At 41.6% G+C, this 22,712-nt stretch overlaps 1 protein-coding gene and 1 long non-coding RNA gene across 3 annotated transcripts in view; one reads left to right on the forward strand and one right to left on the reverse strand.

Annotated features, from left to right (window-relative positions):
• ANXA13 (annexin A13) overlaps positions 1–12,143 on the reverse strand; it is a 56,600-nt gene extending 44,457 nt beyond the window's left edge. Inside the window, exons 1-2 of one of the 2 annotated variants that reach the window (NM_001003954.3) lie at positions 12,070–12,143; positions 10,505–10,627 (exon numbers count right to left, since the gene is read on the reverse strand). In NM_001003954.3, coding sequence (NP_001003954.1) covers positions 10,505–10,627; positions 12,070–12,084 — 138 coding nt within the window. In that variant the 5' untranslated portion in view covers positions 12,085–12,143. The remainder of the gene's footprint in view (positions 1–10,504; positions 10,628–12,069) is intronic. The other variant, NM_004306.4, reaches the window with a different exon arrangement.
• LOC105375739 (uncharacterized) overlaps positions 1–22,712 on the forward strand; it is a 46,366-nt gene that overhangs the window by 5,370 nt on the left and 18,284 nt on the right. The window lies entirely within an intron of this gene.

Genomic DNA, 22,712 nt, shown 5'->3' on the forward strand with positions numbered 1-22,712 from the left:
AACCCATATATTTGGCAACAATCATGAAGGTTGTACTTAAATCTGAAGTTTGGGAGACATTGAATGTATCCAATCCCATCATTTACAAATAAAGAAACTGAAGCCTGGTTGTTAAGTCACCTGCTCAGGGTCACCTTATGGAAACATCCATCTCCTATCTCTCTCAGAACAATGTTCTTTTACCTCTAACCGGTTACTCATTTGCACTTTGAAGCCAGTTAGTATGAATGCAAATTATTGTACTTTTAACATTCATGAATTCAGAGCCAGAAAATATCCTGGTGACATTTCCACAGACATGGTTAGTAGAGATTGATGAGCAATTTGAAACAAAATAGAGGGGCCATTCACATCTGAAGCATGAATCTTGGGTGATTAGTGACATATTGGTTTCATTAAGTCATAAAACTACCCAACAGAAAAAAATATATTTGGCAGTATACCCTGTTGGGTATATTTAAGCACAGTTTGAATACGAATATTTGGTATTTCATCATGTAGTTATTGCTGTTTTCATTAGGATTCTCCAGGATCTCACACCGACTAAAAGCAAGCCAATTCCTTCATGCCTAGAACCTCTTCCCACATTAGAAGTTTATTAATCTGCGGGGGTTGATCAGAGAGCTGTTGGGAAAGTGTGTTAGGAAACTTGAGCTCTGCCCACCTTAGTAGGGTGCTGGAATGTTACAGAGTTGTTCATTGCTGTTGATACCTCCTTTCCAAGATGCAGTATTACAGTGACTTACATGATGACTAAGTGTTTGGCTATCACTCTAAAGGGGCAGAAATATTTGTATCATTTAACAACTAAAACTAAAACTAGAAAAACATCCATTTGGATCACAGCTCAACATGATTTGCTTGCATATGTTGACTGTATGTTCTGAAAAATGAGTTCAGTTCTTTAGATTAAAACATGACCTTTCTATTACATTTGGGATTGCTTCCATGTTGGCATTTCAGCACCTTTTAATGAAGATTGGTATAGTTAGGTCATTTTCCAGAAAGACAAGCTTCCTTAGGCTATGCCATCTGGGTTACACGTGTTGATGTGATATTTACTTATCAAAGGTGACTGCAGGGCTGGGTAGGAGTTAGGAGACCTGACTTGAAGGCCCTTCAATATGCTGTGCCTTAAACTGGTGGGCACCATTGTACCTGAAGGTACTGATGGTATCCTCAGGAGTGTAAACAATGTGGGCATCCTGCCATGCACTGAGCTGTGGTATAGGGAGTCCAAGTGGGGTAGCCCTTTTGGGGGCTACACCCAAACAGAGGAGAGGTGAGCCAATCAGCTCCTGAAGGTTCCAGCCTGTGTCTTTCCAGGGGAGCACTGCTCATCTAGGCAGGAAATCCAGCAGCCCAGCAGCCTTTTTACTGAGGGTTTCTGCAGTGAAACCCTTCTCACTCTGGTATAAGAACTACTATTTGATCCAGCAATCTCACTACTGGGTATCTACCTAGAGGAAAAGGAGTCATTATATGAAAAAGATACTTGCACATGCATATTAATAGCAGCACAATTTGCGATTGTAAAAGTGTGGAACCAACCCAAATGCCCATCAATCAATGAGTGGATAAAGAAGCTGTGGTATATATATACAATAGACTACTACTCATCCATAAAAAGGAATGAATTAATGGCATTTGCAGCAACCTGGATGGGATCGGAGAATACTATTCTAAGTGAAGTAACTCAGGAACAGAAAACCAAACATCATATGTTCTCACTCATAAGTGGGAGCTAAGCTATGAGGACGGAAAGGCATAAGAATGATACAATGGATTTTTGGGACTTGGGGGAAAGGGTGGGAGAGGGTAAGGAATAAAAAACTACAAATAGGGTTCAGTGTATACTGCTCGGGTGATGGGTGCACCAAAATCTCACAAATGACCACTGAAGAACTTACTCATGTAACCAAATACCACCTGTTCCCCCAAAACCTACAGAAATAAAGAATTTTTAAAAAAGAAGAAGTTGTTACTCATGGGCTAACAGTTTTGAGAAAAACTGCTGCCTCTTGGCTGCTGCTGTCATCAACAGGAGGATAAGGGTCAATCTTCAGGAGAAGCTGACTTTTCTCTGTTATAAGAGAAGAAATCAGTGTAGGGACATGCCTGGGCCAGAAGGGCAGGAATGGTGATTTCTGGTGGAGATCCAGTGACATAAAGACATTCTGAGGACATCTGCCCTGGAGCCTTGTTTTCCCATTTAAGCGGTGGTTCTCAATAAACCAGGAGCGATTTTTGTCTCCCAGGAGACAATTGGCAATGTCTGGAGACATTTTCAGTTGGCACGAGTAGGGGAGTATTACTGGAATATCTAGTGATAGAGGCCAGGATTCTGCTAAACATCCTTCAGTAATGCACAGAACAGACAGCCCCCCTCCCCCCGCCCACACACACACAAATAATTACCTGGTCCCAAATGTCAGCAGTGCCAAGGACGAATGTGCCAAGGGTCCACAACCCTGGCTGAATGGTTGTAACGATTCTGTCAACGGGTCTCTTTAAAAAGTGTGGAGAAGGCCAAGCCTCTGGTGGTAAACGGCACACAGGTGCTGACTAAAGCAAGGCCTCCAGTCACCAAGGGCAAATTGCTGTGGTAACTTAAAAGGGAAGAATAGAAATGGACCATGATGTCTTACATTCTTTAATTTTTTTGCAAAGAAACCCAGATGACAAATCTGAAAGATGAGTGCTGAGATAAGGTAACTAGGAGGAAGGTGTGAGCTGAGATCAGTTCAAAGTGAGAAACCTGTTGTCACCTCCTGCTTCTTTGTCTGCATCAAGATTGTTGTGAACATCCCAGCCTATACCGGCAGGGCAACGTGCCCAAGTGACATCTCTCTGTTGACTCATTCTTAGGGGCCCTTGAGTGCTGTGTTGGGCTGGAGAACTTGGAGTTTCTAGTAGAGGCAGAATAACATTCATTATGTGGAAACAAGATTTTGTGTCCTGGGGAAAATGACTGTCTGCTTTGAGGTTGTCCACAGATTGTTTGGGGAGTTGGAGACCTCTGAAGAGTGCTAAACTTCCAGATATCCAATTACCACTGTATTGCATCAACAAAAGAGAACTTGGAGGATAAAGTGGTTGTGTGGAGATGATGGATATTTCTCAACCGTGAAAGGAACCATGCTTTCAGGAGTTATGAAAAATGAAGCACGTTTCTCATTAGAAAAGAATGATCCATTTCCTTCTTATATTGCCAAAGGTCGTCTTTTGCCAATTCAATGAGAGTATGAACATGGGATTCATTACTTGCAGGAAAAAAGGTAGCAAGTGTACTCTGGAATCCTCAAGAGTCAATGATAAGTGGGCAGATGGAATTGAAAAGTGAGAATATTGGGGGCTGAGCGGGGCCTTCATGGCATCAAATGTGCTGTGTAGCAGGATGCAGTCAACAGTATGTGGACAAGTTCTGATTTGCTGAAAAGGAAACAAGGTAAAATAGCTAAATTTGCTTTGAGCAAATTTCTGTCTCAATCAGTATCAAAACAATGAATGTTATTCTTTCCCTTGGTAGAAGAGTTTATGCATTGGATCCAAAAAAATTAATTCTTTTAGTTAATTAATTAATTTTTAGTCTATTATTTCTTTAAAATTATCTTTAACATTTTATCTTCCTTTTCATTCCTACTACAACCATCCAAGTCCCCATTATTTGGAAAGAGAATTATTTTCTCCCTTTCTATCTGATTTTCAAGTTTGCATCCTCCTTCTATTTCAGTCCATCTAGTAGTATTAGTATCAGTAGTGGTAGTAGTAATAGCAGTAGTATATTAATAAATATAATAGTTATAAGAAAGCGGTGATGATAAAGATAAGGCCAACCTTACTTACTATGATTATTCACAGGGTAGGTCCATGACCCAAGCCAACTGGAATTCTTCCCTGACATCTTACAGATACTTAGAGAAAGAAGAGATTTTCCTTGAGGCTGCTAATCTGGAGCTATGTGAGGCCATGGAGTTCTCTTGGTGCCTGAACTATCTATGGCCATGCCTCCCTCTCACCAGCCCCTTTTGCTTCCCATACGAGGAAAACAAAAAGCTTATTTTCAGTAGGAGAGAAAGAGGCCAACACATAGAAAGAAGAGAGAGAGAACTGAGAAGATGATTTGTTCAGCCTCAGGGATGAATTATGATTCAAGGCTCTCCTCTTCCTCTTTGCCAGTCTTGGGTTGGGCTTTTGACCAGTTCTGGCCAGTGAGATAGAAAGGGATGTCTGCTGCTTGGAGCTTTGCAGAAAGATTTTCCTCCCTGATAGGGGAGATGTACATAAGCAAGAAGGTATTTTTTCCCTCTATCTGCTTCCTTCTTGCTTGTGACTATCTTGAGAGATCATTAACTTGAACACATGACAGTTATCTTGCACCTAGGTGGGGAGACATTGCTAATACATCCAGAGTATGTCTGACAGAAAGGCAGACATAGCTTGGGTCCCTAATGATGTACTGAACTGCTGAACCAACACTGGAATCAGCTTAATTCAGAGCTCCTGTTAGAATTGACAATTAAATGTCTTTGTTATTTAAGCCAAAGTGAGTCCTGTGGTGTGCTACTTTCGATCAAACACATACTAATTGTCCAACAAACAAACAAAAACAACTGTGAACTCATACTTCGCAAAGATATCTCAAACTCTATAGATCCCCAAACCAAATTCAATCTGTCACTGCCTTACATCCCTGGGATGTGCCACCATCCACCTGTGCACACAAACTAGACAAGACACCTGGAGTCACTCTGTCGTCTTCCTTTCCCTCACCTCCCACATCCACTTAGCAAGTTATGTTCGTTTGACTCAGATCTACCTTCTCCCCAGTTCCATTGTTGCTATTTTAGCCGATGAGGGTGGAGGGTGGCAGAGGGTCTTCATTTCTCTCCAGGGCCACTGCTTCCGAAGTGCTTGACTTGCCTCTAGTCATGTTTCTCTCCAAGCCCTTCTCCACTAGCTTCCAGCATGGTCTAGCTAAAAGCAGCACTCAAGTTGTTACTCCCTTGTCTGATTCTGACTTGGGCTTCCCTATGCCTAAGGCAGCAGTTCTCAAAGTGTAGTTCCTAGACCAGCAGTACCAACATCACCAGGGAACTCAGAAATGCAGACTCTCGGGCTCCACCTTAGATTTACTGAATCAACATTCTGGGGGTTGGACCCAACTCTCCATTTAAGAAAGCCTTCCAAGGAACTCTAATGTGCTGAAGTTTAAAATCACTGCTGGCCTAAGGAAATAAAATCTAATTTCCTTAGTGTCGTAGGTTGAACAGTATCACCCCCACCCCCTCACCCAACTCATGTCTACTCACAGCCGCAGAATTCACCTTATTTGGAAAGAGAGTCTTTGTAGATGTAATTAGTTAAGGATCTCAAAATGAAATCATCCTGGATTTAGAGTATTTCCTAAATCCAATTATTGCTGTCTGTATTAGCTCATTTTCAAGCTGCTAATAAAGACTTACCCCAGACTGGGTAATTTATAAAGGAAAGAAGTTTCATGGACTCACAGTTCCACATGGTTGGGGAGGCTTCACAGTTGTGGCAGAAGGTGAAGGAGGAGCAAAGTCACATCTTACATGGCAGCAGGGAGAGAGGGAACCCTGGGTGGGGTGGGGAAATGAGCAGAATGGGGGAGTTCTCCGGGCTGCATTCCGGGTGAGAAGCCTGAGGAGGCAGGTGTGGTGCTAACCCGGGTTTCAATGCCATCATCTGGGCATCTCTGTAGGTTGAATGGTGGGAGTTCCCCATAGTCAATGCTGAGGCACAGCCCCAGCCTGGGCATGGGAAAGGCTTATGCTTCAACTGTCATTCTCAAACTTGAGCACATATCAGTTTCACGTGGAAGGCTTGTTCAGATGCAGATTGCTGGATCCCATCTCCAGAGTTTTTGATTCTGTAGATCTGGGGTGGGGCTCCAGAATTTGCATTCCTAACAAGATCCTGGATTATACCAATGATGCGGGCCTGGGAGACCTCATTTGAAAACTACTGCACTAGAATACCTGACGTTAGACTCGTGGCTCTCAACTTTGGATACATTAGAATCATTTGGGGAGTTTAAAAATATACAGACGCCAGGGCCTTGCGCATGAATTGGTCTGGGAATGTAAATAGATATAAGAATTTGAACTCCAACTGGGCAAAACACTGATTTGTTTAAGATTTATTTAGAAAATGCAATGAATGCATTGATGAATTTATCCAAATTTTATTAAGCATCTACCATGCTGCAGGCATTGTGTTGGTGATGGGGATATATAGGTGAACAAAATACAATTCTACCTTCAGGAAACCATCAGTCCAGTGTGAGGCAGGTATACAAAACAGGTGGTTCTGTTGGGCACAGTGGCTCGCACCTGTAATCAATCCCAGCACTTTGGGAGGCTGAGGTTGGAGGATTCTTGAGCCCCGGAGTTCTAGACCAGCCTGAGCAACATAGGAAGACCCCCCATCTCTACAAAAAATTAAAAAGTAGCTGGGCGTTGTCATGCTCGCCTGTGGTCCCAGCTACTTGGGGGTATGGGGGTGCTGAGGTAGGAGAACCCCGAGAGGCTGAGGCTGCAGTGAGCAGTGATTGTGACACTGCACTCCAGCCTTTGCCACAGAGCGAGATCCTGTCTCAAAACACAAAACAAAAACAAAAAACCCAGATGGTTCTAAAACCACATGGGAGTGGAGTAATAGTTATGCAGAGAGAACTATGGAAGCCTTAAGGAAGAGCATCCAATCCAGCTTGGGGGGCAGGGGATGGAGAAAGCTCAGGGAAGGGGCTAAAGAGATGACGAGGTGATGATTCAGTTCAACAGTTTCAGAAATCCCAATAGGTTAATCTTCTATTTGGCGTAAAAAGAAGCTTTATTGAACCCAAGGCATAGTGTTAAAAATTTGTGCCTAAATCCAAATCTGTGCTTGACCTCTTACTAGCTGTCCAACTAGGAACAATTTACCTAAACTCTCTTTGCCTTACTTTCCCCATATTTAAAAGGGGACTAATAATAGTATCTCCCTGATAGGATTGTTGTGAAGACCAAATGACGTAACACATGTGAAGTGCTTGGTGGCGTGAAGGACTCAAACTTCCAGGGTCACTGTTCACACCCTCAAAACAGCCCACAGTCTAGTAAGCACTTTATAAATGTCAGTTATTATCATTAACATTTCAGAAGATCTCGTTTAAACTTCCAGTTACAACCATCACCACTGGGAGTTTTAGTTTTGGTTCCTGTTGCTGTGGCTGTAGCACTGGGAGGTGGGCTCACGCTGCTGGGACATGCAGGATTCTCTCCCCTGCACCAAGTGGCTCCAGACTCCCGCGGCTCTAGAATTCTTGTGTTGAGGTTTCATTTAACATGTTCTTCCTTCTATCAGTGTATCTGTCCTCTGCCGACTTCTTACCACCTCCTTACAATGGCTGGTTTGTTTTTTTTTTTTGCATCCACCATAGACAAAATATCCAAAAGGCCAAGATTGCATAATTGTACCTAAAATGTAGCTACCCTTCAGAGACTTGTCTTTAAATGAAGAAGGTATGCATTGGTGCATGTCATGCTTTGACATCAAAGGCCCTTTTCACTTCCTCCTACACTTTTGCAGTGGCATTCTGAAGGACTAACTTTCTGGGATAATAGATTTCCTGAGGTCAAGTGCAGTGGCTCACACCTGTAATCCCAGAACTTTGGGAGGCTGAGGTGGGAGGATCGCTTGAGCCCAGGAGTTTGGGACCAGCCTGGGCAACATAGGATGACCCGTCTTTAAAAAAATTAGCTGGGCATGATGGCACATGCCTGTAGTCCCACCTACTTGGAGGTCTGAGGTAAAAGGATTGCTTGAACCAGGGAGGTTGAGGCTGCAGTGAGCCATAATTGTGCCACTGCACTCCAGCCTGGGCAACAGAGCAAGACCCTGTCTCAAAAAAAAGTAATATTTCCTAATCTTATTTATTTAAGATGATCTTAAATAAATAAATAAATAAGGATCTTATTTATTTATTTAAGTCTTTTGAAATGATCTAGACTGCTTTCTGCTAGGGCTTGATCATGGGTCTTCTGGATTTGGGATCACAGTTTAATGCACACCCTTGGTTAAGACCATACTTATTTTAATTTCAAATTCTCAGCCATATTTCACCTGCCTCCAGAGCCTGTCTTCTTTTCTCAGGAATCTGGATCTATTTCCCCACTTGTCATGCAGCTTTCAGATGTTCTTTGTCCACGTTCATCTGAGTGTTCACCTTGCCTGGTGTTCACCTGCCACAAGTCCCAAACTGTTCTCCACTGGAGACAATATTTATGTTGGCTAAATATTGGCACAAGCAAGTCATAAACTTGGCATGTTCACAAACAACGTGGCAGACCACTGAACAGATGTTCTAACATTTACAAATCGGTTTTCAGTTAGGAGCATGTGCAATGACCATCTGCCTTTGTCCCCAGTGTGCAGAGCTCTTCTTGAAAGGTTAGCCATATTCTACAGTCCAGTGTTTCTCAAACTCTGCTGCACATTAGAGCCACCTGGGGAGCACTTACAAACCCTGATGCGCAGGACAACCACCAGACCAATTAATTCAGACTCTAGGGCTGGGACCCAGGCATCGGTGGCTTTTAGAACTCCTCAGGTGATCTCAATGCAGGCAAGTTTGACAACGCGTTCCATAGTCCAGTGCTTCTAAGATTTTAATGTGCCTGAAAATCACTTGAAGAGTCTGTTAAAATGCAGACTATGATTCAATAGATCTGAGTGGGCTGAGCATCTGCATTCCTAACAAGTGCCCACGCAATGTGGATGCTGCTACAAATCCAGGGACCATACTTTGAGTAGCAGGGCTGTAGTCCTTTCTATTGCCTGTTCATTAGCCTTGCAAGTAATTTCCCAGAAATCATGAGTCCATTTGAGTTTGTGATTATTTCCACATTTATCAATGGCTCTACTAGGTCTCCCTCCCTCTGTCATTCTGCACATATCCTATAGCCACACTCCCGTGGTAAAGTAATCTTAATATTGATCTCACTTCTGTATTTTTCCCTAGATAGTGATTCTTGTGAAAACCCAGACAATAGAAGAGTCATCTAGCTAAACCTAAGCAGATTTTTCCACTGATCTGATCTTTCTCTCTGTGTACACTCTACCTGCAAAGCTCACTGGACACAAGGACATGTCCTCCAGGATAAGGAAATTCTTTGAACATTGTGTGATTTGGCGGATGATAATGACCCAGTATCTTGGTTACTGCTGCTCCACATAGGTTAGTTACAAACACTAGGTCTTTGGTTCAAAAAAATCATTAATAGTGGCAAAAGAATTGAGGATAGCACAAAAGTAATTTTCGTTTCAGGATTGGTTAGGATTTCAGATGATAGTACCTTGAAAAATGCAATTTCCTGGCCAATATTCTACTGGCTCTGCAATAATAGTTGTCAATTATCTATGGGCCCTGGTCTGTGGACATATTCTTGGGGGAATAAAAACTTTTCTAGGAGTCTTTTGCATTTCATGCTGATAATAACTTAAAAATTAATATAAAGCATCCTAGATCATCAAGATGACCAAGTCCTGGCTCATGATTTAAATGTCTGCATTTGTGTTTGTATTTACGATTGTTTATATGCCAAACAGCCATACTTCAATAATTGCAGGCTAATGATGAAAGAAGAGTGAACAGAGGGAGATTTAATAGAAACACCATGTGTGTAAGCCGAGAGAAGGTCCCACGGCATTACAAGGAGGCTTACAAACAAAAGTGTCTCAGTAGGTTCAATAGAGAAATATGATAAAAGAACTCAGAAGTCACATACCACATCATATTTTAGATTTGCTGAGATTCAGAAAACAAACCAAACCAAAACAAAAACCAAGTAAAACTCAAAAAAAAAAAAAAAAACAAACCCAGCATTATAGCCATTGGGACCATTTCATGTTGAGCACAGCTATTGAATCTCAACAAAATAACATTGTCTATTACACTATGTTGATGACATACATTTAAACAGCATTGACTTATAACATTATCATTTAATTTATATATTTGTTTTGGTTGTGTAGCTGTTTCAAAACCACCAGCATTCTAGTTTTGTTTGTACATATTCAAGTAACTTTCTAATGCAAATAAGTTAAGCCATTACTGGGATAGTTTTTTGTTCTTTAAAAAGATTTTGTATTTACTTTTTTACATGTATTCATTCTTTGTGCACATGTTGAGTTCCTTTACTATTTTCTGAAATGTCATAGTGGTCCTGGTGTAGCCTCATGTGCTTGATTTCAAGGAGTTGTTAATGAGACACTGTTGGGAACAGAAACTAAGCCCCTAGAAGAGTTCATTTTTACATTACCTGTAAATACAGTAACAAACTTTTTGCAGGGAAAGATTTCCCTGCTTGGAAGTCACACCTGATGATGGCTGGTGGCTGGTGGAGGGTCCAACATGACAGATCACTGGGGGCTCATATTGGCCCCATGACAGAGCAGGGGTCATACCTATGATTTGGGGGGAAAATAAAGTGCTTACAGGCTGTGGGGCCTCTGGCTCTCCATTCCGTGATGGGTGGCTGAGAGGCTGCACGACTGTCGAGGGTTGGGAGTCCCCTTTAGGCAACTGTTGACTGCCTTCTGAGAGGGTGTACGACTGGCTCTGAGGATTAAAAAAAAATACATAAAAATGCTGGTCCACTCCTAAAGGCCAGCTGCTCCCTAGGTTGACTTTCAAAAGACAAAATTATCCTCCTAAGCTGTGAATGCAGGGTCCATTGATTATTCCTGGGGTCCTCTGCATCTATCAGAAATATTTGAAAAATAGGCTTCAGTTTCTCTGAAAGATACACTGAACGGATGGCTCATAATCTCTGCTGGTATGAAAATGCTATTTGTAGATGATTTGAAAAACAATGCCTTTCCTAAGAATATATTTGTAAGTTTGTAAACATCTGAGTGCAGCTTGAATATATAGCGAAGGAAAAACCTTATAGACAAAGTAACAGTTTACAGAAAGTTTTGGAGTTTTATTCTCTGCTCATAGTGTGCATGAAATATATCATTCTTGCTGTGGAAATTTACAGCAGGTACACAAAACCTTATTAAGATTTGTATTGGAATAGCTTTAGATATACTTCAATGTAAAAAATATTCAAGATTCAACTCTGATCTGTCCTGTGTGTAGTTGGTTCCAAAAGGTAGTGTTTTAGTCAGTTTTTAGTCATTAACTATTTATAGACACACTATTCAGGAGCCTAAACATTTCAAAAGAAATGTAAATTATTAAGTCCATTCCATGGATATTTGCAAATATGTGGATGTTTAGAAATAATAATGGAATATTTTCACCTTGCAATCCAAGTTGTGTGGACTTACATGAGTATTTACCTTGGTCTATTAATATTTGCAACATGAACCTATCTTTCCCACATAACTCTGAATGGGCTTAGTTTATGAAGTTTTATACAAATTTGCTACAAACTAACAGCTTTAGTTATACATTCTACAGATACATATTAACCATTTGCTCTCTGCAAGGCACTATTTACTGCCTTATTTTACATACTTCTTTCTCTTTAGCCCCTCTTAAGAGATTTTTGGCCAATAAGGGAATAATATATCCCCAGTGCTTTTTTTTTTTTTTTTTTGGGACGGAGTTTCACTCTTGTAGTCCAGGCTGGAGTGCAGTGGTGCAATCTCGGCTTATTGCAACCTCCGCCTCCCAGGTTCAAATGATTCTCCTGCCTCAGCCTCCTGAGTAGCTGGGACTACAGGCATGTTCCACCACACCTAGCTAACTTTTTTTTTTTTTTTAATTTTTTTAGTAGAGACAGTGTTTCACCATGTTGGCCAGGCTGACCTCAAACTCCTGACCTCAAGTAATCCGCCCACTCTGGCCTTGCAAAGTGCTGGGAGTACAGGTGTGAGCCACCGCACCCGGCCTCAATGCATTTTAAAAGCATGGTATGCTGTTGCTAAAACCAATATTAAAGGGTAACCATAGTGATAAAGTATACAAGTATCAGTCATGATTTTATAGTTTAAATTCTTCCACATGCTAACCAAAATTAAAACCAATTCCCAAAGGCAATGAGTACTTACATGACGATTGCCCATTTTCCTTTTTCTGAGATGGTTTTTCTGTATTTCATCAAGAGATCAGTCCTCCTACAGGCAAAGTTTACAACAGTTTTCCCCCCGGACATAATATCTCTTGTGTTTAATAAGTAACTTTTGGCACTGAATTTGAATACATTGTTGGGGATGGGTAGGGAGTGGCTCTAGCTACAGATAAACTTAGACTGCCCAGGTTTCCTTGGTACCCATGTTTTTAAAATAATATACTTCTTAATAAATAAAGTTTAGGCTTTTAAAGTTGAATAGCTTCTTCCCACCTAAAAGACTAAACCTGCCTCACTTCTGAATTGTTGAGTTATTCTTTCATATTCTGGTGTTCATTTAAAATATTATGCCTTTTAGTAATGAAAGCATTAACCAAATAGAAAAATATTACTATTTTTTACTAACATTGTTATTATTATTACAGAGAATTTTTCGAAGGCTACATTGCATTACACTAGATCATTTAAAAAATTTTACTGAGTTTTGAATTTAAAAAGTAATATGTGCAGATGGTAAATTTGTTTCTAATAATACATAAAGGTCCTGTGAAAAGTCGGCCTACTGACTTCCTTTTTCCTTCCCCCAGAGGTTTTCCGTGAGTCCTTCCTGAAGTGGTCCATGCATATTCAGCTATGTCCGTCGGTCTGCCTGTCTAGTTACCTACCTCTCTGTTTATCTTGATCCAACTTGTCTTTTCTTCCTCACCAAATGGGTTTGTACAATGTATTCTGTTCCATGCCTTGCATATTTCTTGTCTTTCCTTTTTTTTTCTGAGATTATTACAACATGTTTCTTTTTTTATTTGTACAAACTTATGTGGTACATAAGACATTTTGTTACATGCATATAATGAGTAGTGATCAAGTCAGGGTATTGAGAGTGTTTGCCTGAGTACAATAGATTTCTGTTGAGTACAGCCACCGTACTCTACTATCCAACACTGAATTTATTCCTTCCATCTTAGTGTGTGTTTGTACCCTTTAACCCACTTCTCCTCTTCCCCCGCAACTCACCCTTTCCAGTCTCTTTTCTCCATCTATCCACTCTCTACCTTCATGTGATCAATTTTTTAGCTCCCACATTTAAGGGAGAACATGTGATATTTGTTATAAGGGAGAACATGTGATATTTGTCTTTTTGTGCCTTGCTTATTTCACTTAATATAGTGTATATTTCATATACTAAAGAGATATTTGACACTGGCACATTTCTTTTTCAGTGGCCATGTAGTCAACTGTTATGGATATGAACCAAACCTTATTTCATCAGTCTACCGTTGAAGGTCATTTAGATTGTTTTTGATCTTTTGCATGAATATCTCATACACATCTTTGTTGTGCTTTCTTATCTGTAGAATAAAATCTTAGAATAGAGTTGCTGGCTAAAGACTATGTGCACTGAAAATTCTGATAGCTGTTGCCAAGTTGTCCTCCACACTGACATAAAATGCTGGACCACTCTTAAAGACCAGCTGATCCATGAGGCTTACTTTAAAAAAATGAAAATTTCACTCCCACTATATGAATATACCAGTGTGATTTTCCCTACATATTGGCTAACACTAAATATTGTCAAACTTTGTCATTTCTGCCAACTTCAAAGATAAAAACATGGTGTTTTATTAAATTTACATTTCTTTCATTTGATATCCTGGAAATTGTATATCCCATTTCTTTAAAGCCATTTGTGTATTTTTTTCTGTGGTTTGCTTGTTTGTGGTCTTTATTTTTCTTTTGAGTTATTAGTATTTTCATTATTTGTTTGTAAAACACTTTATTTATAATAAAATCTAGGCCTTCATGAAGTGTAACAATTATTTTTCCCCAGTTTGTTATCTTTTGTCTTTGTTTGTTTTGAGGGTATATATGTGAAGAAAGTATTAGCTCTGATGTATTCAAATATATCAGTCTTTTATTTTTGACTTGCTTAGAAAAACCATTTCTGCATTAAGATGCTTAAATCTTCTTGCATAAGTGTTCCTCCAAGTTCTTTTAATGGCTTAATTTTCAAAGGCTTATATCTTTGATTCATCTGGAATTGATTTTGACATACATTAAGGAAGGAAGGGTGTGTTAGGCTGTTCTTTCATGGCTATAAAGAAAGAACCGGAGGCTGGGTAATTTATAAGGAAAAGTGGTTTTATTTTGGCATATGGTTCTGCAGGCTGTATAGGAAGCATGGTGCTTCCTTTCTGGAGGGCCTCAGGGAGCTTACAATTATGGAGGAAAGTGATGGAGAACCAGTATGTCTCATGGCAAGAGCAGGAGCAAGAGAGGAAGTGCAGAGGTGCCACACATTTCTCAACAACCAGATCATGTGTGAACGCAGAGCAAGAGCTCTCTTATCACCAAAGGGATGGCACCGAGCCATTAATGAGGGATCCACCCCCATGATTCAACACCTCCTGCCAGGTCCAACATCCAGTATTGAGAATTACATTTCAACAGGAGATAGGGAGGGGACAAACATCCAAACTATATCAAAGGGAGTCAGCTTAGTTTTTGTTATTCAGTCAATCCTAGACAGTTACTGGATAATGCACTTTTCCACTATTGGTCTAAGATGCCACTTTTATTTAAAGCTAATTTCTTATGTAACATAGAATTAAAATTTTGTATAGGTTTATTAAATTCTGATTTTATATATTTATTATTTTGTTCTTTAAACTATTATCTGTTGAGTGCCTTGGATGTGCTAATTGTTGGAAAGACGGACAGGATGGATATGGATTTTCCCTTCCTAGAACTTGCAGTCAAATTTCTATACAAGAAACAAACAAATAAATAATTATAAATTGTCATATGGGCTATGGAGAAGATAAGCAGGACGCTAGAATAAAGAGTAACCCGTGTGTGTGTGTGCACATAAGAGTATGTGTGTGTGTGCACACGTGTGTGTGTGTGTACTTTGCTTTAAATGAAGAAAGGGCTTTTCAAGGAGCTCACACTGAAGCTGTGAATTAAAAGAAGGAGTTCATCATTTAAAAAGAGAAAGTGCTCCAAATTGGATGTTCTTAGCTTGTGCTAAGGCTCAACATAGGAAAGAGCTTTGTGAATTGGAGAAAATAAAAGATGTCATTGAGACTGGAGACTATTGGGTGCCACACAGGGTGCCTGGTGTGGAAATATAGTGGTGGGCAAGACAAACTCTCCTCCAGGAATTGACAGCAGAATGAGGGAGAAGAGAAGAAGATGTAGGTTAATGACCACTGCTTTGAACACTCACTATTATTTTTTCTTTAGTGTTGAATTTTTGTTTTATTATCCTCTGTCTCCTTTTGCCAGCCCAGACTTCCCAAGGCCACGTCCTCTGTGTCCCACCTCTGTGTCATTAACCACGTCCTTCAGGGACCCCTGAGTAGTGACATCTCAGAGGTCACAAGGGGCAGGGCAATTTGATGTGCAATGCTCATTGTAGAGATAAGTGCTGTTCAAGGGTGCTGAGTTACTGAGCACAGGAAATGCCTAGTTAAGGAAGAGATACAGTTTATGGCTCCAGGTGAAAGATAGACAGCTGAGAGGCAGGAGTGTCTTTTTACTTTTCAACATCTCTACCAGTGTAGACACCTATTGACTATTTAGATTTGGCCATAGTCAGGTTTTGATTTGACATAGATGGTGCTTCCCTAAGTGCCCCTCCTTTTCTCCTTCCTCAGGTGGATGGGTACTTAGGAAGGTGGCTGGGATAATTACCAGCAACAGCAGCAGTGGGGAAGGAAGGAACATTCCTGTGACCTCAGGCCATTTCTGGAAGGATGCATGCTTGGAGGCCCAGAGGGGAGAAGGAGGAAACTATCTGGGAAGGAAGTGTGAGAAGACACGATCTGGGTGAAGAGAAGGCACAAGACAGGTGGGAGGGCTTTTTGTATGGTTGTAAATATTTAGTGATCATAAATTATAACAGGTGCTGTGTAATAGGTTCCTCTAGTCAACTGGGCTACATCTGCTTTTTACATCTCTTGGATTTTGGTTCTCAAAGTCATGATGTTGCCCACCGATAGGGCAGCTGGTAATGTGTGTGGGAGTATTTGAGTGGCCATAATGAGTGGTGGAGTGGGAACTGGAGCCCAGCCTAGGGATAAGAAAAATCCTGCACTGCATGGGACAGTCCCACACAGCAAAGAATTGTCCAGTCCTCAAGCCAACGGTGTCCCACTCCCCTTGAAAGGTGGGAGACATTCTGCCTCTCTCACCTTCCTTCTATGATGGGCTCTATCGGCAGACCAAGAGTTTATGAACTTTTGTGGTGCTCCCGGGTCTTAAAATTCTGTAAAATCTGAAGTTGCAATGCTATGAGCTTAATTGTAGCTACTGGAAAAGTATGAAAGATGGAGAATGTGGGCCGGGCGTGGTGGCTCACGCCTGTAATCCCAGCACTTTGGGAGGCCTAGGCGGGTGGATCACGAGGTCAGGAGATCAAGACCATCCTGGCTAACACGGTGAAACCCCGTCTCTACTAAAAATACAAAAAAAAAAAAAAAAAAAAATTAGCCTGGCGCGGTGGCGGGCGCCTGTAGTCCCAGCTACTCGGGAGGCTGAGGCAGGAGAATGGCGTGAACCCGGGAGGCGGAGCTTGCAGTGAGCCGAGATAGCTCCACTGCAGTCCGGCCTGGGCAAAAAGAGCGAGACTCCATCTCAAAAAAAAAAAAAAAAAAGAAAAAAAGAAAGTTGGAGAATCTGTAAATGGACAAGGGGGACCAGAAGAGACAAATCACTTGGACCAACTCCTTCATTCTATAGATTAGGAAATTCCGGTCCTGGAAAGTGACAATATCTCACCCAACATCAGCCTGCTAGTTAGTAGAAAGAATGGTGGGATGAGATTCTATACTGCAGGATGTTCCGAAACTTACAATACAATGGGGTTACATCCGATAAACTCATCATAAATTGAAAATATCGTTAAGTTGGAAATGCATTGAACACACCTAATTTACTGAATGTCATCACTTAGCCTAGCCTACCTTAAACATGCTCAGAACACTTATATTAGTGTATAGATGGGCAAAATCATCTAACGCAAAGCCTATTTTATAATGAAGTGTTGAATATCTCATGTAATTTATTGAATACTGCACTGAAAGTGAAAAACAGAATGGTTTCATGGATGTCCGTAGAAGAAGGGGGAAATGCGATATGAAGTTACAGGCACACAGGGAGAAGGCCATGTGGCAATGGAGGCAGAGATGGGCATGCTACAGCTGCAAGCCAGGGAATGCCAAGGACTGCCAGCAACCACAAGAAGCCAGGAAAAGGAGAGAAAGAATTTTCCCCTGCAGGTTTCAGAGGGAGCACAGTCCTGCCAACACTTTGATTTTGGACTTTTTTTTTTTTTTGAGACAGAGTCTCACTGTCATCCAGGCTGGAGTGCAGTGGTACAGTCATAGCTCACTGCAGCCTTGAACTCCTGGGCTCAGGTGATCCTCCAGCCTTAGCCCTCCACCACACAAGTAGCTGGGACTACAGGCGTGCATCACCACACCTGGCTAATTTTCCGAACAATTTTTTTTTAGGGACTGGGGTCTTGCAGGAGGCGGAGCTTGCAGTGAGCCGAGATTGCACCACTGCACTCTGGCCTGGGCAACAGAGTGAGACTCTGTCTCAAGAAAAGAAAAAAAAAAAAAGAGAATGGGGTCTTGGCCAGGCGTGGTGGCTCACACCTGTAATCCCAGCACTTTGGGAGGCTGAGGCAGGCAGGTCATTTGAGATCAGGAGTTCAAGACTGGGGTCTTGCTATGTTGCTCAGGCTGGTCCTTGATTTTCAACTGCTCTCCTCCAGAACTGTAAGACAATAGATTTCTGTTGTCTTAAGCCACCAGTTTGTGACACTTTGTTATGACAGCCCTAGGAAACTAAAACACCTTAAACAGAAAGCAAAAATCTCATTGATTGCTGTGACAATCACAGCAACTACATTATGCTGTGTAATTTGCATTTAATAAAATTTCCATTTAGAAATACTTTGGGGAAAATATTATATGATATTAAGACTACAAGTAATTCAGATTCTCTTATAGTCATACAATATTAATTAAAATAAAAGCACATAAATGTTTATTTTCTAAATGCTGAACACTTGCCTGATTTTTCTTTCTGCAGGGAGAATTCGTAGTATTTTATTTATGTAAGGTAATTTAGCTAAAACCCCCAAATTACAGTTGATTTTGGGACAGGTACTTTCTTCCACATAGAAAAAGCAAAAATGTTAGGATTTCTGTCATGTTTGTGCATAGTCTCCCCTCGCCCCATTAGTTAATAAATGTCTAAGAGCAGAAACAGGACTATTGCTTAACTAATTCCCACAGTGTCTTCATATAATGCCTACTTTATAAAAGTTATTGCTTGACTAAGATGAAAAGACTGAAATCTGCAGGAAATCATTAGAGTCGCTGAAAGTATACTCCTATATTTTTCCAGTAGTAAAAACCCTGAAAGTCACACATTTCATCTTGCATGTACAAAAATAAAAATAACATAGAACAAAATGCCACCTGAAACTCATGGGTGTGTTAGCAAATACTGATTGTACATTTCCCATGTACAAGACACTAAGCAGAGTTACAGGGAATAGCAAAAATACAAGACACAGCTCTCACCCCACCCTTTTAGATGCTACGCTCTAGTTGGGGAAATGAAACATCCGTATAAGCAAAACCACATCTTAATGTAATGTTGCATTTTGTGGCAGAAAAACCACAGCCCTGGGACAGCAAAGCCCCCTGGATTTAGGGTGGTCTCTGCTACAACTTACGTGTGTGATCACATCAGAGTCACTCACTCTGTCCAGTTCTTGGCTTTGTACTATGTAAATAGAGCAGTTGGGCTTCATCTCTACATTTACCATGAACACTTTCGGTTTAGGAAGGTAGGTTGCAAGTGACTGAAAACTTGACTCACAACAACTTAAGCAAACAATTGAATTTTTGGCTCACATAATTGGAAAACGCGCTAGCTTCAGGCATAACTGGATCCAGCTACTCAAAATATATCCTGGAGACCCACTGTCTCTCTCCATCTCTCAAGTGCTTCTTTCCCCCCTCTCAAAGAGATTCCACATTTCAAAGGCAAGATATTGGCTTGCGGATCAATGTTTTCATGCTTAAAAATTCCAAAACTAGTGAAAAGGAAATGAGAGCTTTTTTCCCCATAAGTTTGAATACAGAACCTGGTGTGATTCTCTGGCTCACGTTGGGATTCATCCTCATCTCTGAACTTGTCACCATAGCTGGGGTGGGGGCAGGTTGTGAGGACCAGATTTCATGTCCTCCTCTAGAGCTGTGTGAGAAGTCAATCCCACCCAAACCATGTGGACTGAGAGTAGGGGAAAGATTGTCACCAGAGAAAATTGGGGTGCCCTTAATAAAAGAAGGGTGAATGTAATGGTAGGCTGGCCAAAAAAGAGATGTCCACTACAGAAGAGCAAAAAGAGAAAGAAAGGAGACAAGAGAGAGAGAGTTCATGAGGATGGGAGAAGAAGGTGGAAATGGTACCCCAGAGGCTAAGACCTGACATTAGAGACACTAAAAGGTGAGTAAAGTGCCCTTCCCTTTAGAGCTTCCATGTCCAGGAACGCCTTCTGTGAATCTTCTTGGGCTGACCTGCAGGTACCCAACATTCAATATCTGCTCGCGCACTCATGCAATTTCCACTTCTGACTTGCTCCACCCTGTGGACTTTGTCATCGTGAGCTTTGCTGGTTGGTGGAGGGCGGCGGGGGTTGGGGGGTGCTCCACTGTTAATGCCTCTGGGGAGATAAGCCACTGCTTAGGGCCCACACTGCAGAATTTCAGAACCCAGCACTCATTCATTAATGCACAGGTATTGGTTGCTAAGTGTGGGGTGTTACAGCACTGTGCTAGGCACCATGAGGCAGAAGACAGACAGGTAAAAAACAGAGTTCTTGCCCCTCAAGAACTTCAAATTTATGTGTGAGGAATAAGATATTAAAAAGTGCAATTGGAAGCCAAGATATAGTTAGGCAACAAATGACTGTTATAAATAAGGTAATTCACAGAAGTTGAAAAAGAAGAAATGGTGGCCAAAAGGAATAAGAAAGGCTTCGTAGGGGCATGGACTTTACCCTGGGATGTGTGGAGTGGCAAGAATTGGAAAGGGGTGCAGGGAAGGCATCATGGAGACAGCACAGGAAATGGTGAATGCCCTGGGGGAATGATGAGGAGGTGATCAGGAGTGTGGTGTGTTTAGGGGACAAAGGGAGTCAACGAGACTTGGAAATGAGGTTGAGAAGTTAATATTGATGAGAACGCCTGGACTAGGATGGTGGCCAAGGGGGAGCTGTCAAAGAGAACCCAAGGTTTCAAGCTGAAGTGACTGGGATTTTTGTGTAGGCATCTTCAGGGACAGGAAAATCAGAGAAGGAGCTGCTCTAGGTGAGACACATGGAAGCTGAGGTGCTCAGAGAGCCCCAAAGGAAGAGTTGAGAGGGAGGTGGAGGAAGAGGGATGAGCCTTGGCTGAGAAGTTTGGGACAAGAGCCGGATCAGAGTCATCACACGGTGGGTGTCAGAGCCTTGAAGGGGTGGATACGGTGGTGTGGAACATGTTGAAAGAGAATAGAAGGCTGGGAGCAGGGCCTTGGAAAGTGCATTTAGAGGTGGTAAGGAGAAAGAGGCCTTCAAAGAAGTCAGAAAGTTCATCAGAGAAAGTGATGAAATAAACACAAGATGAAACAAAATCACCACCAAATACTAGCCTCGTGGGATACAAGCTGTCTCCCTCGTGTCAGCCCTGACCTCACTGTATTGTCTTTCTTGTTCCCCAGTTTATACCTGTCCACCCGGGGTGGATTCCACAAGGGCAGTGACTATATCCTCCTCACCTTTCTCTCTCTGGAGCCTTGTATAGCACTTGTCATATGGAAATAATGGCCCTAGATGTACAATATGTCTTTGTTGAATGAGGGACTGGCAGGAACAAATTCTTTAAAAACCTTGTTTGGCTTTTGTTGCCATTGCTTTTAAAATGTGGCACATATACACCATGGAATACTATGCAGCCATAAAAAACAATGAGTTCATGTCCTTTGTTGGGACATGGATGAAGCTGGAAACCATCATTCTCAGCAAACTACCACAAGGACAAAAAACCAAACACTGCATGTTCTCACTCATAGGTGGGAATTGAACAATGAGAATACTTGGACACAGGAAGGGGAACATCACACACCGGGGCCTGTTGTGGGGTAGGGGGAGGGGGGAGGGACAGCATTAGGAGATATACCTAATGTAAATGACGAGTTAATGGGTGCAGCACACCAACATGGCACATGTATACATGTGTAACAGACCTGCACATTGTGCACATGTACCCTAGAACTTAAAGTATAATAAAAAAATTTTTTGAAAGAATGTAATAACAACAATAAAAAAAGAAAAAACCTTGTCTGTTGTAGGCCAGATTTTGTTATGACAAACTCCAAGGGATATACAAGTTTCTTGGGCCGGAATTTGATTAATGCAAATATTCCATAAATAAGTGGGTAGTATGGCTGGAAAGCACATGCATTTTTCTCATCAATGCAGAGCAGGAAGACTGAAATTGTCACCCACACACCCAAAGATGAATGAGTATGTGTGAGAGTGATTCCATCATTCTTCAATTGTTTACCATTAGCATTCTTTTAAAGGAGATTTATAAGCACATTCAAATCCACTACTTCATTAATTAAACAGTAATATCTTGAGGGCCTACTATGTGTCAGGAGCTCTTCTAGGCATTGGGGATCTGGTGGTGACAATGTCTGGGCCCTGGTGGAGCTTATATTCTGCAAGGGGAAATATACAGAAGTACACAAAGATGCAAACAGCACAATTACAGGCTGTGGGACATGCAACGCTGTGACAGATATAAACAGGGTGATATGGTGGCAAGCAATTGGGGAGGCCAATAGCCAAGGCAGAAAAGAGAGGCCTGTGTGTGTGTGTGTGTGTGTGTGTGTGTGTGTGTGAATAGCCAAGGCAGAAAAGAGAGGCCTGTTTGTGTGTGTGTGTGTGTGTGTGTGTGTGAATAGCCAAGGCAGAAAAGAGAGGCCTGTTTGTGTGTGTGTGTGTGTGTGTGTGGGAAGCCAGACCTGAAGAACAAGAATGGCACAGTTATTTGAAGAACTAGGGGAATGATTTCAAGCAAGGAGAAATAGGTCCTGAGGCTGAAAGTCTTCGGTACATGTGATGAACAGAAAAGATGTCAATGTGGTCAGAGGGTGAAGGAGAGTGGAAGGAAAAAGACCAAGCCAGGCCTCATGTGTAGGCTATGGCGAGGGGCTGGAGTTTATGTGTATAGAAAGATGAACTCATCCAGGTGTTTTAGATAAGAGAGTGACATGATCTGAGTTCGTGTTTGAAAGGTTGCCCCAGCTATAAATAGGTGAGGATGTCAGTGGGGCAGAGCAGAAGAGAAAGGTCAAGAGGCCTTCACTGCAGACCAGGTGACAGGTGCAGGCGGCTTGGACTGCAGGTGTGAGGTTTAGAGATGGGGGCAGGTTTGGAAGTGGGACCAAAAAGACTTGCTGATGGGTTGGACATAGGGATGGAGTGGAAAGAAAAGTCAAGAACATTTCTCCCAGATTTTGGGCCCAAGCACTTGGGTGGGTGGGGCCATTAATGGA

This window comes from Homo sapiens, chromosome 8 (assembly GCF_000001405.40).
Source record: "Homo sapiens chromosome 8, GRCh38.p14 Primary Assembly".
NCBI lineage: Eukaryota > Metazoa > Chordata > Mammalia > Primates > Hominidae > Homo > Homo sapiens.